Genomic DNA, 16,755 nt, shown 5'->3' on the forward strand with positions numbered 1-16,755 from the left:
TTTTCCTACACAAAGAATCCATCCTACTTCTGGGTCCTTCTGATAAGTTCAAATACCTTTTGGGCTTTCTCCTAAGAGCAAATAATCATTTCTCAACTGGTTTGTCAGATTGCAATCTAATTGATAAATTAACATTCACTTTTACTCAGCATGATATATCATCTTCCCAGAAAAAATTATATTTCCATTGTGCCAATTCTCCTTAATTATGTACTTCCTGCTATTAAACGTTTGTAAATGCTACTGGATGGACTCTAGATATAAGTGAGGCAAAAGGAATCTTACATCTGACAAATAGGAAATCTTCCCACATTATAAGCTTTGGTAATGGGAAACCCTGTCTACATTTTCTTGCCTCCTATACATGTGCAAGTCAGTAGACTTAAAAATAGTTTTTCACTCTTAAAGGTCTATAAAAATAGTCTTTCATAATTCATTCAGATTCTATAATCTTTAAGAAATCATAGGACAAAAATGTCATATACAAGGTGTCATTTAAAGAAAGACTTTAGCAGACTGGTCATTTAATAGGATACTGCAACTACACAGAATGTTACTAAAATTGTTCAAGAAAGTTATTCACATGTCTTAAAATATGTCACCTTAAAATATTTTAATACATTCAAGTGTACTACACAGCTTTTCTGGTTTATGAGAATATAAATAAATGCTTGATGAAAATACTAACTGTATATGGCATAGAGATGGAAGACAAGAATGAATTTAAGATGATTTATTTTCCAAGTATATATGGGATTTTATACTATTGGTTTTATTTATTTAAAAATGGTGAAGAGAATCTGGATTTTAGGACAGAAGTAATAATTTTATTCCTAATCATGCAAGGCATATTTAAAAAATTAACAAATGTGTAAGCCCTAATTAACAGAGCATTTGATCCTTTCTTAACATTTCCAGAGCCAGGTAGCTTTTGTCCTATGTGTGGTATAATAAAATCCATTATGAGACAATCTTTCTCACAATGCATTCTGTATGTCACTGCTATACTCACCTTTCCTAAGAACGTCTCAGTTACCTCCAGTAGCCCTAAATAAAGCAACCTAAAGTCCTACCTGCACACTGTGACATTAAGGCCCACCAAGCCCTGACTCTAGAGTACTTTTCTCACCTTAACTCTCAATATTTCTCAAAAACACATAGTGATTTCCTTGTGTACAATTATATCTCACATGGAAATTCACCTTTGCTTGTATTTGCATGGCATTTTCTTGTCTATTCAGTCAGTTTTACATCAGATCTTCTTTCTGTCTAAAAACAATTTGTACACATGGGTCTCAATCCACATCCTATTCAGCTTTTTAGACCCATATACAAGTGTCTGTATGTAGCTCCCTTAATGCATTTAGACAGGACTTTTTTCTTCTCTGCTTTACATTTACTATAGCTTAATAGATGTTTACTAGAATATGCCTTAAGATCTAGGTATTTTTATGCATATCTTTCTCCCAATATAATTAAGAACTGTGGCAGTATTGTCTTGGAAATTATACCATATATCAAGTAAATATTTCAGAAGGGAAGGCAGAGGAAAACCTAAAGTCAGGCAATTACATGACCACTTAAACCTGCTTTATAAATGTTGAGAACTGTCTATGGCACATAGTGTATTAGGAAGCATCCAGCACAGGAGGATGATGTAGGCTGGGAGGCTAGACCCATCTCACCTTTTTCATGTCTTTCTGCTTGCTTTATATTCACTGGAAGCTGATTAGATTGTGCCCATCAGACTAAGAGTGGATCTGCCCTCCCCAGCCCACTGACTCAAATGTTAATCTCTTTTGGTCAACACCCACACGGACACACTCAGGGTTAGTACTTTGTGTCCCTCAATCCAATCAAGTTGACACTCAGTATTAACCATCACAGTGAGCACTTGATAAATTTTAGCTATTTTCTTATATTGTAATTAAAACCAATTTAGACACATCTTCAGAAACAATCAGCCCTGTGATTCTATTTCCTTTTAAGTTCATTCAAAGCTCTGTCTGTAAGATGAAACAGTAAATTTCAGATGTTTATGCAGTTTTGCTTTAGCTAAATCATTGTCTAGTGTAGAAGTAAAAATGCTCAAATGACAGGTCTCATAGCTTTCATTTTTCAAGTTTTTCCCCATTTTGCGGATAAAAGAAATGTTTTTTAACCAAGATAGTGACATCCCACATTTTTGGTAAAGACTTGACCCCTGTTTCCAGGTGGTCCTTAAAACAGTGCCACACTTCTTACATATTCCTGTACATCATCTATAAGAGGGATGTGTAGCCTAGAAATAGATGAAACAACAGGTTTCCACAAGGCTACAGACTTTGAGTCAAAGGACACCATGAAAAAGGGTGTCCTGAATTTATTCTTAGAGACTAATTTCCTTGCCACTGTTGAATTTTGCTTATAGCACCAGAATTTTATTACCACCATTTTCTTTTTCTGAAATATGTCAAGTATTTGCAAACATAGGAGTAGATGATAGGTGTGATATATTTCAGTGATTTAAAAATAGTAAATTTTCTAAGCCCTTGAGAAAATTCCTTTTTGTTTTCTTTGGAAAATGTTGAATATGAATCTCACTGAAGTAAAAAACAATTGATTTATGTGCATTGTATAGGTCCGTTCTCACACTACTAATAAAGACATCCCCAAGACTGGGTAATTTATAAAGGAGAGAAGTTTAATTGACTCACAGTTCTGCACGTCTGGGAAAGCCTTAGGAAACTTACAATCGTGGCAGAACTGGGGATGAACATGTTCTTCCTCACGTTGCGCCAGGAAGGTGAAGATTGAGAGCCAAGTGAAGGGGGGAGCCCCTTATAAAACCATCAGATCTCCTGAGTACTTACTCACTATCACAAGAATAGCATGGGGGAAACCACTCCCATGATTGAATTACCTCCTATTTGGTCCCTCCCACCATACATGGGGATTATGGGAACTACAATTCAAGATGATATTTGGGTGGGAACACAGCCAAACCATATCATGGGTCAAAACAAAAATGAACTGGATGTTATTTATAAGTGCTTCCTCAACCCAATTTGTATTTTTCTTAGGACATTTATTCAACTTCATGAATGTAATACTATGCCAAGTGGTTGTTATGCACTGTGATTATTGGACACAAATATTCCTAGGGGTATTACAGACAACTGTTGTGATTAAGTTATTGATAAATTTCACATGAGATCATAACAATGTTGCATCAAAAATATTAGAAGGCTATTCATTATATCCAGGAATATGTAATTTAATTCTTTGACCATCTTTAATTGGCTTAGAATAGTTTCCTTGGAGAATATTTAATAGAGATTACTCAGGAGAGAAAACAGAAGAAAATAGGAATGGAATCTACTGGGCACAGCTGAAAGTGCAGTGTTAGGGATCTCCTTGTGTACTAGTCACAGGGTTATTTGGGTAGGGAATCTACACAGTGGCTGATAGCCATTCCCTGAGATTTTCTCAGATGAAACATCTTTACAGGCATGACTGTGCATAGAAAGTTGCACCAGCTGTAGAAATTTCACACCATCTGACTGAACATAGCCTTATCCCTCAGAGTGTAAATAAACTAACTCAAGATTACTAGCAAATCTGGACCATCCAGATGGCTCCGGCAGACATTTAATTGATAAGACAAGGAAACAGCTATTATTTAGGGTATTTTAATTTTATTTTGTGCCATGTTTTCATATATGTGTTTATTGAATGAGTGGAGTTGCTACAAGTATAATCATGAAACTTAGTTTCTCCTCATGCCACTGTCCTTGAAACATAAAATAGTAGATCTCCCTTTTCTGCTTGGACAATATTTGTGGCAGACCTTGTGGCAAGTGTGCTTATTTTAGATATTAAGGTCTAATTTGGGGGCATTAAAATATTCATTGTTATTTAAAGGAAAATGTGAGTTTTTCATTCAGTTCAATGCTTCTCTCCCTACCCTAACTTTATCATGATTCAGTTTCAGAAACCTACATAAAGAAGGGGCACATGGTCACTTTCTTTTGTCTTTTCTTTCCAACTCTTTAATAATAATTGTTCTTTAATATTTCTCCTGTATTCAAATTCAGAGAGGAGTTTCCCTAAAAATAAAAGCCAAGTCAAAAGTGACTAGTGTATTTGACATCTGGCATTGGTGTCTTAGCTGGGATAGATGCCCAAATATGTTTATCTCCCAACGGACTATTCTGTGGGTTGTTCTGAAACTCCCCCACGTGGGAAGCTCTCACTGCAATATTTTGTGAAAAGGTCAATATACCTTCTGTATTCTCTTCTCACTTCCTGCTTCTGGTGTTACACCACAGAAAGACTCCTGATGGAGTCTATACACTCATCTCATCAGTGTAACCTTCAAGATAATTCATGTCTTTTTGTTTACCAGGGTCCTCTTGGACCCTGAAAAGAGCTAACACACTTGTTCCTTACCCTTATTAGTGCTTCTTGCTTCCTCTCTCTAATTCTGTGCCATTTTCCTCTTTCTCCTCAGTTTTACTTTTAAAAGTGTCCATGTCAGAGTCACATACACCAAATTCGCTACATGAAGATCTCTAGGTGGTTGATTGAACTGATTTGAAGAAGTTTGAGGTGTAAGGGAGAAATATTTAACATTCTGACAACTCTTTCCAATAAATACTCACTATACATGTTTCTCTATTTGTAGATAAGCTTTAGGTAGGTGATGGGGTAAAATTTGAAGAACCAGCTTTGGGTCAATCCCTCAGCAAGTCCTGAATAAATTATCAAGATATTTATCACCAATTGTTCCCATTTCTGTGCCTCAGTTCAAAATGAAATGACAGGGGACATATCTTTTAATATCCTATCACATATATTTCATGTATACGCTGTCTACATGGCAAATGTATCTTCTGTTTGCTTTCTTGTTTTTTGTTTGTTTGTTTGTTTAATATCATCTAATCCTTTATGAAGGCATTTCAGCATTGAACTGAATTGCCTTCCTGTGCCTCAGGAAAAAATTTAGGCACCTATTGGAGCTGAATTATCTTAGACTATAAATCTCTGAATCCTTATTGAGCAGAACTATAATCAGGTGAAGTACTTACCGAACCATTCAGACACAAAAATATTTATCTTGGTTGATAAGAAATTTAAAAACAAAATTGATGATCATAAGTATGTAGTGCAGCAGAATATATTACAAAAAAGAAAAGGAGAAAGATTTTATATAAGGCTTCTCTGAGATGTAGTAGAAGAACTCCCTCTTTTTTTGTTTGTATAACTGAGATTTGAAAAATGTCCATAGTGCAAGCTGATAGGTTTCAACTAGTTCTCAATTATGAAGGAAGTTTTTAAATTCTGAATTTTTGTAGGACTCTAAACAGAGAGAAACTGGAGAGCCAAGGGACGAGAAGTCAAAGTTCAAAAGTGTGACCAAAATTAAGAAATATTACAGGTATATTAAAATTAAACAGATTATCAAATTCTGAGTGTAGAAAAAAGGTTAGGTCTGTTTGAGTAAACACATGTTTACTTAAATTATTTTATATATACCAAATATTTATAGATTGAGTCTAAATTCCAAGAAAGCCACTCTTCAGACAAATTTGAAGATGTTGCCATCATACAAAAGATTTTACATAATCTTTAAACAAAAGCATATAGTCATACATAAAAAAGCTTTCTTTTTTTTTTAAGATGGAGTTTCGCTCTTGTTACCCAGGCTGGAGTGCAATGGCGCAATCTCGGCTCACCACAACCTCCACATCCCGGGTTCAAGCGATTCTCCTGCCTCAGCCTTCCAAGTAGCTGGGATTACAGGCATGCACCACCACACCTGGCTTATTTTGTATTTTTAGTAGAAATGGGGTTTCTCCATGTTGGTCAGGCTGGTCTTGAATTCCCGATCTCAGGTGATTCACCCACCTTGGCCTCCCAAAGTGCTGGGATTACAGGTGTCAGCCACTGTGCCCAGCCCAAAAAGCACTCTTTAAGGCTAAAATCATTTTACTCCATATTGCGTTGCATATATTAAACTTAGTAGCTTTAATAAAACACATAAGAATTTTAAATATTAACCAGAAAAATTTTTAAAAAATCAATTTATGTCATCCCCACATCACTGTGACCTATCTGTATAATAAATTCATTTAATTCTATTACATTTATTTTTTATTAGAATGTTGCTATTTACTCTGAAGTGTCAAATGATACACTCATACAATATAGCACCACCAGAAAAATATTTTATAGCAAGAGGAAACATTGAGAAAATATAGAAAATAGTTCAATTGATTTGACATGAACAAATATCTTTTAAATATGGATTTACTGGTGACCAGAGTCTTTAAGAAAATTTTACATCTATTAATGAATATATATATATATGCTAATGAAAAAATATGAGAAATAAATCATGGTCAAGATTTCAAAATTTATAATTTTTAAGATACCACAATTTTCTGGATTTTTAATGTAGCATTTTATTTAGTCAGGAAAATTTACTGAATGTTTTTGTGCAAGGCCCTGGGAGATGCAAAAATAGGGTAATTTGAAGTCATCGGCCTTCAAAGAGATAAATTGTTAAACAAACAAGATAAGGTACATGGTGCCTGATTGACAAGGATGGTGATTCAGAGTTACGAGGCAGAAAATGCCACAAGAAACATGATGCTTTCCCAATACTTTGCATTTACCTAATAAGTTTTGTAATATGAAATGAGTGGTGGGATCATAATTTTATGACTGAGCACTCTGACTTTGTGTCCTTGGACAAATTACATATCTTGATTCCTCATTTATTGTTTCTTAACAATAAGATAGTAGTTCCTAATGCATGACATTGTTGTGAGAATTAAACTATATCTTTTTAAAAAAATTTTAAATTAATTTTTTAGATGGATTTTTGCTCCCGTTACCCAGGCTGGAGTGCAGTGGCACGATCACGGGTCACTGTAACCTTCGCCTCCCAGGTTCAAGTTATTCTCCTTCCTCAGCCTTCCAAGTAGCTGGGATTACAGGTGCCCACCACCATGCCCGGCTAATTTTGTGTTTTTAGCAAAGACGGGATTTCACTATGTTGGCCTGTCTGGTCTCGAACTCCTGACCTCAAGAGATCCGCCCACCTCAGCCTCCTAAAGTGCTGATTACAGGCGTGAGCCACCATGCCCAGCCCTATATCTTTAACTTGGACAGTGCTAGACATACAATCAACTGTCAATTAATATTAGTAAGTTAATATAAACAAATTATTAGAAAATTTTTTTGTTACCCCCACTTTACATGTGAAATGCTACCTACCCTTAAGCAGCTTGTATCTGGCAGAGTTTCCTAAGAAAAGCATGTCTATATGGCTCACTCCATGACTTTCTTAGGAAGATTCCTTTAAATGTCATGCAGTTTTCCATTTTCTCCTTCATCCCTTAACATTAGACCTTCCAGGTGTTTCTTGTTCATTCTAAATGAAAAGCGCGTACAGAAGAACAAAGAATAAATTGCATAATCTGGTTAGCACCTAAGTGGCAGAATCCTAATTCTGGTCCCTGTTGACAAAGCCAGTGTATCTTTTCCTACATGAAAAGAAGAAAACTTAAGAGGGAGCAATGACTTTGGGCTGGAGGGAAATGATCAGAATTTAAGCTGGATACTAAAGGGTACTATGCTCGTTAGAGATTGCATTGATCTGCATGTGACACATTTCAGCTAAAAATTTCGCTGAAATTTTTTCTCTTATAAAAAGTGCTCACAGCCAGATGGTGCCTGGCTTTGGTTCACCAGCTTGAGGATGCTAGGGCTAAATTTCCTTTCTCTATTCTTCATGTTGTCAGATGGATGTTGAAGCTCCAGCCATTACAACATTATTTAGACAGCAGGGGAGAAAAAGGAAATGGGAAGTTTGACACCTGTATTAGTAGAGCAAATTTGCCCTCCTATGCCTGGCACATTTCCAGTTTTCTGTCATTTTTCAGAAATGTGTCATATGATCATCCCTTCCTATAAGAGACTTTGGAAAGGTGAAGTTTTACCTTTTAAGGGTCATGACAGTGAATCTGATGAGACTGGTAAAATGATGGGAATGTATACCGAGTGAACTACAAATTACGTGCCCCAAAGGTGGGCTTACTTGTATGACCAGAGATGGGAGAAAGAAATTACACGCAACCAAAGGTTCAGAGATTTTGGAGACTGATGAATAATCTAGTCAGAATCAGAAAGCAGTGGTTCTTAAGGGTCAACCAGGCCTGGCAAGGTGGCTCATGCCTGTAATACCAGCACGCTGGGAGACCGAGGTGGCCAGATCACGAGGTCAGGAGATCAAGACCATCCTGGTCAACATGGTGAAACTCCGTCTCTACTAAAACTACAAAAATTAGCTGGGTGTGGTGTCGGGTGCCTGTAATCCCAGCTACTCAGGAGGCTCAGGCAGGAGGATTGCTTGAACCCGGGAGGCAGAGGCTGCAGTGAACCGATATCACGCCACTGCACTCTAGCCTGGCGACAGAACAAGAATCCATCTCAAAATAAATAAATAGATAAGTAAATAAATAAGGTCAACCAAAGGAGTGGGGAAACATTTATTTAAAAACAGAAAAAAGTCTCATGAGAGATACAAATGAAGGCAGTGTTTTAGAAATTACAGAGATTATGGTTACAACTCTAAGAAAGATAGACTGTAGGAGGAAAAGTGAGAAAATGTGAAGATAATCCTTGAGAATAGCTTCACTGAGAAAGCGGTAATAAGACCAAGGAAAGGTGTGGCCAGAGAAGCAAGACAAGGTGGAAAGTGAGTAGCGTCACAGAAGCCCATGCAGTGAAGGAACGCAGGGTCGCTATTTGGAGACTTCAACTATTCTACACTTGCATTAAGAAAAATGAAACGAAAAACCCACTGCTTTTAAAGTTTCTTCCATGACTTCGGAAAGAAATTCTCGTAGACTCTCTGGGAAATGTCAAGACTCAAGGCTTGAGCTAATTGATGGAAGAGGATAGCAGCTGGAATAAAATACAAATTATTTTAGAAGTTTTACTGTCAAATAGAAGGGAATTCAGTGAGGATGGGAGTTACAGAAGATAACAAACATAAGAAAAGTTATTTTATGTAGTTTTTGTGTTCTGTTGCTAATGAGGAAATATTAGCATGTGTGTCAGAAAAATGCTGGTGGAAATTTAGAGATTAAAATGGAAAAAAATAGGAGGGAAAATACTTGGTTTTTTAAGTGGATGTTTTATTTATTTTTGATTGTTCAAAGTCTGATAATGTACAGACTTACCTATTTGCCAAATACAGTTCATTTGTTTAAGTAAGAGGGAATAACATTTATTAAACTGTTGAATGTTTACTATATTCCAGCCAAGTTACATAGGTTATCTCATTTGGTGATTGAAAAATTCCTAAGAATATCTGCTTCAAAATGTTGTTATGAGAATGCAATTATCAACATGTAAAATGCTTAAAATAGGTCCTACCATGTTATAAGCAGTACTACTATAGTTATAATTAATAGCGATTGTAGAAACAATCTTTTACACTGCTTTCTTTTATAGAAAACTGGAGTTCAAGTAATTTAATAAATGGATCTGCATTAATGAAAGAAAGTAAATTAGAAATTACCTTGAAAGAAACTAAATTAGAATTCTGTCTCAGGTGTGTCTGACTCCAAACCCCACTGAGTTTCAGGAGGAACGGATTCTGTTAAACATCTTAAGGAGAGTGTCACAGCCATAGGCCTAGTTCAGGGACAGGGACAGTCTTCTACAGACTTAGTAGAGGAGTTGAGTTTATCAAAAGCAATAAATAATTCAAAACCCAATTCTTAGATAAGGTTATGGTTATTAAAAGAGAATACAAGGTAGGAACAAAATGTCAGCAGCAAAATGGGTAACCAGGATGAGCACAAGTTGGAGTTATTAGTAGTCAGGGTATTGCCTAATATTGGTGAGGTGCTCCTTAAATTTCTTCTGCTGAAATGTTAGATTTTTTTTCTGGAGGCTAGAACTATCCTACACTTGCATATGGGAGGCAAATAAATTTAACTTTTGGAAAGAATGGCATGCAAATGCTAAGAATCAGATAAGGCATTTAATACTAAAAACTCAGTTATTAAATCAAGTTAAATAGAATAATCCTAAATTCTTTAAAAGTTTATGTAGTGCAGTTTGCAATATACTGAATCACTGATTCTTGGATCTTAGGGCATTATATCAATTTATATACATATAGTCAATCAATCCATATATGGTCAATTTTTCATTAAAAAGTAATTGTTATTAACCATAGAAATAAGCACTCATAAATAGAAACCACATGTAGTTACTGTATTCTTAATTTTGGAGACTTTAATGACTTTGAAATATTAATGTATGTATTTATTTATCCTTCACTTCACAAACATTTATTATAAAGTACCGTTCAGAAGCCAGTATGCTTGGAAATAAATAATGAGCTGGCTCACACCTGTAATCCCAGCACTTTGGGAGGCCGAGGCAGGCGAATCACGAGGTCAGGAGATCGAGACCATCCTGGCTAACATGGTGAAACCCTGTCTCTACTAAAAATATAAACAATTACCCGGGCATGATGGCGGGTGCCTGCAGTCCCAGCTACTCGGGAGGCTGAGGCAGGAGAATGGCATGAACCTGAGAGGGAGAGCTGGCAGTGAGCCGAGATCATGCCACTGCACTCCAGCCTGGGCGACAGAGCAAGACTCTGTCTCAAATAATAATAATAATAATAATAATAATAAGCTGTATACCTGTAAGAAAGATGGAGTATTCCAGAGTGAAAAAGCCATGCACTTCAGAATTAGGAATTATATACCATCACATAACATATAGATTACAAAAGTAATACAAGAAAGATTTCCAAATGAAGTAACGTATTCTTTCACACTGAATCTAAGATTTGTATATATAATTATATAAATAATTCTATCCAATTAGAAAGGTTAAAAAAGGCAAATATAACAGTTATTTTAAAATCCCAGGGACTGTGTGTATGTGTGTTTAGTAAAGAAGCTGTCAAAATTAATCTTTTAGAATTGTAACTGAATGCAAGTCCAGCTGCTCACTGCTCGAGGGCCAGAATACAAGAAGCAAAGTGTAGTGAAAGGAAAGCAACTTCATTCAAATGCTAGCAGTTGGGAAATGGTCAGGTTCTTGCCTCCAAAAGACCACTTCAAATGTTAGTCTTGGGAGAAGGGGTTTAAAAGGGAGGGACTTGGTATGGAAACCAGCAGGAGAAACGCAGGATGCAGGTCTGAATATCTTGTTCCAAAGGCTATCTTGAGTCATCGTCCACCTGGAGTGCTGGCTGGACCATCTCGGTTGTGGCTGGGTGGTAGATTATCTGTCCTGAGGCAATCTCCTCGTTGGGGAGAATTCCGCAGCTGGGCCTCCTTGCCTGGCTTGTTATAAAATTAGGCCCTGGAATTTCTTAACAAGCATGCAGTTAGATAAGTGTGCATGGTGCAAGGGACTGTCTGCTGGGAAACAGGGAAGCAGAGTTTCGAAGTACATTTCAAGGCTTTATCTCAAGGCTAAGAAAAAATGTTTCTACAATCTGTTTCAAGGTTACATCTTAAGACTTGAGAGGAAAAAAAGGAAAAAAAAGGTTTAAAATGAATTTCAAAGTTAAAATACTTGGTTACAAAATTAAATAAAATGCATTCACATGGGAACATAATCTCCGATATACGCACAAACACATATGCACGTAAATTTTCACTGCTATTGATGTTTACTATCTGTTCATTTAGTATAAATGCTTGTTTCAAGAAAGATTAAGTGTTAAAAATCGTAACTTTATCTGAGAGATGAATGAGTTAAAGCTAATTAAGTACTTCATTAAAGAAAGAGAACATACTAAAGTACTAATTATATTTAAAGCCTCAAACAATATACTTAAATTATGTACTGAGCAATTTTTTTTAAATGAGTAAGTTACAAGGCTTGTTCAGAGTAAAAAATAAGAGTGTTCTATCTATCGAAATCAAATTTTGCTAAGGCAGTTTCTAAAAATGATGAGCCAAGATGCTGTTATATATTTTAGCAAATGTTATATTTATGAAACAATAACAATGCCAATTTATATTCTTTTTTGTGCTTAAGTACTAGATATAATGTCATGTAGGTCAGATGAAGGATATTTACATTTAAAGTGTACTGACATCTCACTGGTTCTCAGTATAGATAGAAAGATGTTAACTAATTCTAGACTTTTAAAATTAATTCGGGGATAACCAACCATACAACAACTATTGAGTTTATAATTTCCAATTCAGCAGAGAAAAAAATATTGATAAACCTAATAATTGGAAATTGACTAAATGTCTTCATAAAGACAGAGATTTGTGGAATTCAATTTTTTAAAAAGTTCAACTATATAGGTGCTTTTTACAAGGAGTATAACTAAAATGTAAGGACATGAAACTTAATGATGCACACTTTTCCTGTGACTATTCAGCTTTGTTCAGAAAGTCTTAACAAGAGTATTGAGGTAAACAAATTAAATGCAATATATAAGAGTTGGAAAGGAAGAAAATGGAATGTTATTATTTTCGGATAACAAAATTATATATATAGAAAATACAACAGAATTTGCAGACAAATTACAGAAAAAAATAGAGTTTAGGTGGGAAGCTGAAGATGGGATCAATAAAGAAAAATATTTTTCTTGTATAAAATATTAATAGCACAAACACCAACCATCATAATCATAGTGAACCTTTTCTGTTTACTTACTGTCTATCAAACACTGTTCTAAGCATTTTATGTGATAGGAATCATTCAAGCTTCACAACAACCCTATGGGGCACGTGCTCCTAACATCTCATTTTAGAGACTGACCCACTTTCATATGGAAAATTCGTGTATGCTTGAATTGGCATTGTTGTTCAGGAGAGAATAAATGACATAAAGGCAACTGGTTAGCAATATGAAAAAAACAGAAAGAAATAAGATTCCTCCCTCACACCATACTCAAAAAATATTTGCAAGACTGACAGCCTCACCTCTTTCGAGTATTAGTTCAAATGTCACCTTTGCAATGATGCCTTTCACCGACTAACTTTTAGAAACTGGAATCTGCCCGTCTGCCTTGCACACCTGATTTCCTTCATCTGCTCTAAATGCTTTCCTCCATAGCATCCATCACCTTCTTATTGTATGATTTACTTATTTAATATGATTATTGCCTGTGGTCTTTGTCCTTTCCTGCAATGTCACTCCATAAGGACAGAGGTGTTTGTCTCTTTCCTTTACTGATACATCTCAAGTGACTAGAACAGTCCCTGTCATGTAATAGATGCCTATGAAATATTTGTTGAATAACTTATAGATGGAGGATTCTGACCCAGGATAAATCTGCGTGAGGACTGATTCTATATTTGTTGTGAGGCTACTGAAGTTTATGCAGATAATGATTACCCTGTTACACATAAACTGATTTGTGTTATTAAAATAAACCATTTCTTTAGAAGCCTTGGTAAATTATAAATCATTCACTGTAAAGACAGACGTTTTACTCATTCTATAGCTATTAAATAAGCTAGCCCAAAATATAATTTTAAAACTACACTGTTTAGTATGTATTCTGTTAAGGTTACTGGATATGCTAAATATAACTTTTCAATTAATGGTACTACTGTTGGTACATATATTTTAAAAATTATTTCTAAGTGGTTAGAGGATCTGTACACAAAATAATAGACTAGGAAATCTGGACATCAGAGCTACTGTTGCATTGATTCACCTAGATAATCATGGGCACATATTCTATATAAATTCTGAATGGGTAGTGGATGGGTCTGTGGTGTTCTTTGTCAAGAACCAAGCTCTTTGAAGAGCGCCTGGAAAATGGTAAGCACTCAATGCCTATTTGTTGAATGAATTGTTATATCAATGAGATAATCATTTATTTTCTATATTTCAGTCTTATTATCAGAAAATGAAAATAATGCCATCTATTCAATATTCCTCTTATTAGGTTAAGTGACAACATAAAACAACATGAATATCATTACAAGTGGAAGGTCAATGTCTTGTCCATCTTTCAAACAGTACTACTTTGCATATTTTATTTTATAATGTTGCTGTTTATCTGTAGTAGAGGCTGGAAATGTTAACTCTTTAAAAAGGCCTTGATTCCAGTATTTTTCACTCCTGCAGAATTGATTTATCCTATTATGGGAATTATCTTAACATGTATTAGTGTAAGATGTTAGCAAGCCATTTAATTAAAATAATTATTATTTATATATACTTTTTAGGCTTACCAATGGCATTACTAAAATTTTATCAGTGATAGCTATTATTCAACTGAAGTTTTTGGGGTTTTGTTGGAGAAAGGGTTTTATTCTGTCACCCAGACTGGAGTGCAGTGGTGCCATCATAGCTTACTGCAGCCTCGGACTCCTGGGCTCAGGGAATCAAGGGATCTTCCCACCCAAGATCCCCGAGTAGCTGGAACTACAGGCACATGCTACCATACCTGGCTAATTTCTCTATTTTTTTTTTTTATTATTTTTTTTTAGAAATAGGGGTCGTGGTATGTTGCCAGGACTGGTCTTGTACTCCTGATCTCAAGGATTCCTCAAGGATTCCTCCCACCTTTGCCTCCCAAAGTGCTGAGATTACAGGAGTGAGCCACCATGCTCAGTCCTGCTCCCCCTGCCCTCCAAATCCTAGGTTAAGCAAAGACAGATGAAATACAAGTATTTATGTCCTTGTGTTTATCATTGTACTAGCTCCTTCAGGAATTTCTATTGTAGGAGGCACATTGTTCTTTCTGGAAAATTTCCACTTCCCACTTCTCTGAGCTAAGTAGTTTGTTAAGAGATTTTTAATCATGCATAAAAACATAATGTGGTTTCTCATTCAATAAATTGTCAGTCACAAAACTATTTTTAAACAACATCAATATTTCAAGCAAGTACATCTACTAATGCATTGGCTGTTTCTTTGCTCAATAAAGCACGTATTACAGAGACATTCTTAAATGTATTGTACATATTGAAGAGAAAATAAAATTCACTACCCTACAAATGCTATCCTCATAGCTTATCTTTTTAACTTAGCTTTCATGCAAATGGGCTTTCACCCATAAGCCTAATCCTGAAAAGAAATTGTAAGTGCTAAAGAAAAGATGCTTTGACTAAGTAAGTGTCAATAAAAACAAAGCTCCTACAATATTACTCCATATAGAGCAGCTTAATCAGAATTTGTAAGTGATGGAAGTTAGAACATTTTAATAAGCTTTTTTTCTTTCTTTGTTTTTCAGCATTTTAGCTCCTCAGCCTTTCGTTCTAGGCCATGAAGTTAGTTAAGGACAAAGTTTTCTTCTCTTCTTTGAATATTTCTTCTTTCCATCTTGCAATCCTACATTTTCCTCTTTTCTTCAGAGATTTGTTTTCTTAAAAGAGATATTACTATAACCACAAACTAATTATAATGTTTAAGCAGCATAATTATTTACCCCAGCTAAATGCATAGAAATACAGATGACAGAGAGCTCATCAGGAGTAAGGAAGGCTCCTGGGACCAAGGGGAATTCTTTCTGCAATGGGACATTTCATTGTCCCTCAAATCACAAGTACCTACAATTAGTTTGTATAGTATCAGAAAACTATATTACAAAATAATAATTGCCAGTAAATTGTTTACTTTCATTATGTATTATAATATAAATTCAAAAAATACTTAAAATAAAGGAACCAAAATAATGTTAGGATAATAATGCTGTTTTGCCCCAAATAAAGCCAAACAATCTAGGGATTATTTTCCTAAGGGAAAAAATACTATAAAGTTTTACATAAGACAGTATGAGAGTAATGTTTAAATATTTCTTATGAGGAAACAGAACAAGTTTAAATGCTAAGAACTAGAAGAGTTAAATTCTAGTCTTAACAAAAATACTGGTTAAGGAATATAACGGCTTATATTCCAAAGTTATTACTTAAGGTTTTTAATGTTGGTTTTGTTTTTGTTTTTGTGCTTTTTTTGAGACAGAGTCTCACTCTATCACCCAGGCTGGAGTGCAGTGGCGCAATCTTGGCTCACTGCAAGCTCTGCCTCCCAGGTTCACGCCTTTCTCCTGCCTCAGCCTCCCATGTAGCTGGGACTACAGGTGCCCAGCTAATTTTTAGTATTTTTAGTAGAGACAGGGTTTCACCATGTTAGCCAGGATGGTCTTGATCTTCTGACCTTGTGATCTACCCGTCTTGGCCTCCCAAAGTGCTGGGATTACAGGCGTGAGCCACAGCGCTCGGCCTACTTAAGTTTTTAAACTTTAAATAAATCCATCATCTCTATATATTGAGAGCCGCACTTCTGTTAATGAAAAAATTAGAATAACACTGCATTATAAAGAGAATAGACTGCAATTGTTATATTGACTTTATATATTATTCATGTATTCACTGATATCACGGGACATTTTTTCCATAGCAGTAATTTTCTTCTATAATATGCTTAATGTGGATTGTAGTTACCTCGATGCTGATAACTAGGGAACCAAGTATAGGGTCTAACTCAAGACAGCTGCAAGATGGGGAATGAGAAAGAGACATAAGATAAAGGGAGAAAAGGCATACTCACTCAGAGTCTGAAAAATGACTGCAACTCTGCAGATTATAAAGATAGAATATTGGGAAAAAGTCATTTAAAGCCACAGTCTATCTTATTCTATGAAAATAATACTTCAGTTTTAAAAAAATATCTTACCTAGGCATGTATTATTCGTGGTATGAAAATCAGTATTTGAAGGGACGTGCTTTGCCAAATACCACTTAGAGCTAC

Source organism: Homo sapiens, chromosome 4 (assembly GCF_000001405.40).
Source record: "Homo sapiens chromosome 4, GRCh38.p14 Primary Assembly".
NCBI classification, from domain to species: domain Eukaryota; kingdom Metazoa; phylum Chordata; class Mammalia; order Primates; family Hominidae; genus Homo; species Homo sapiens.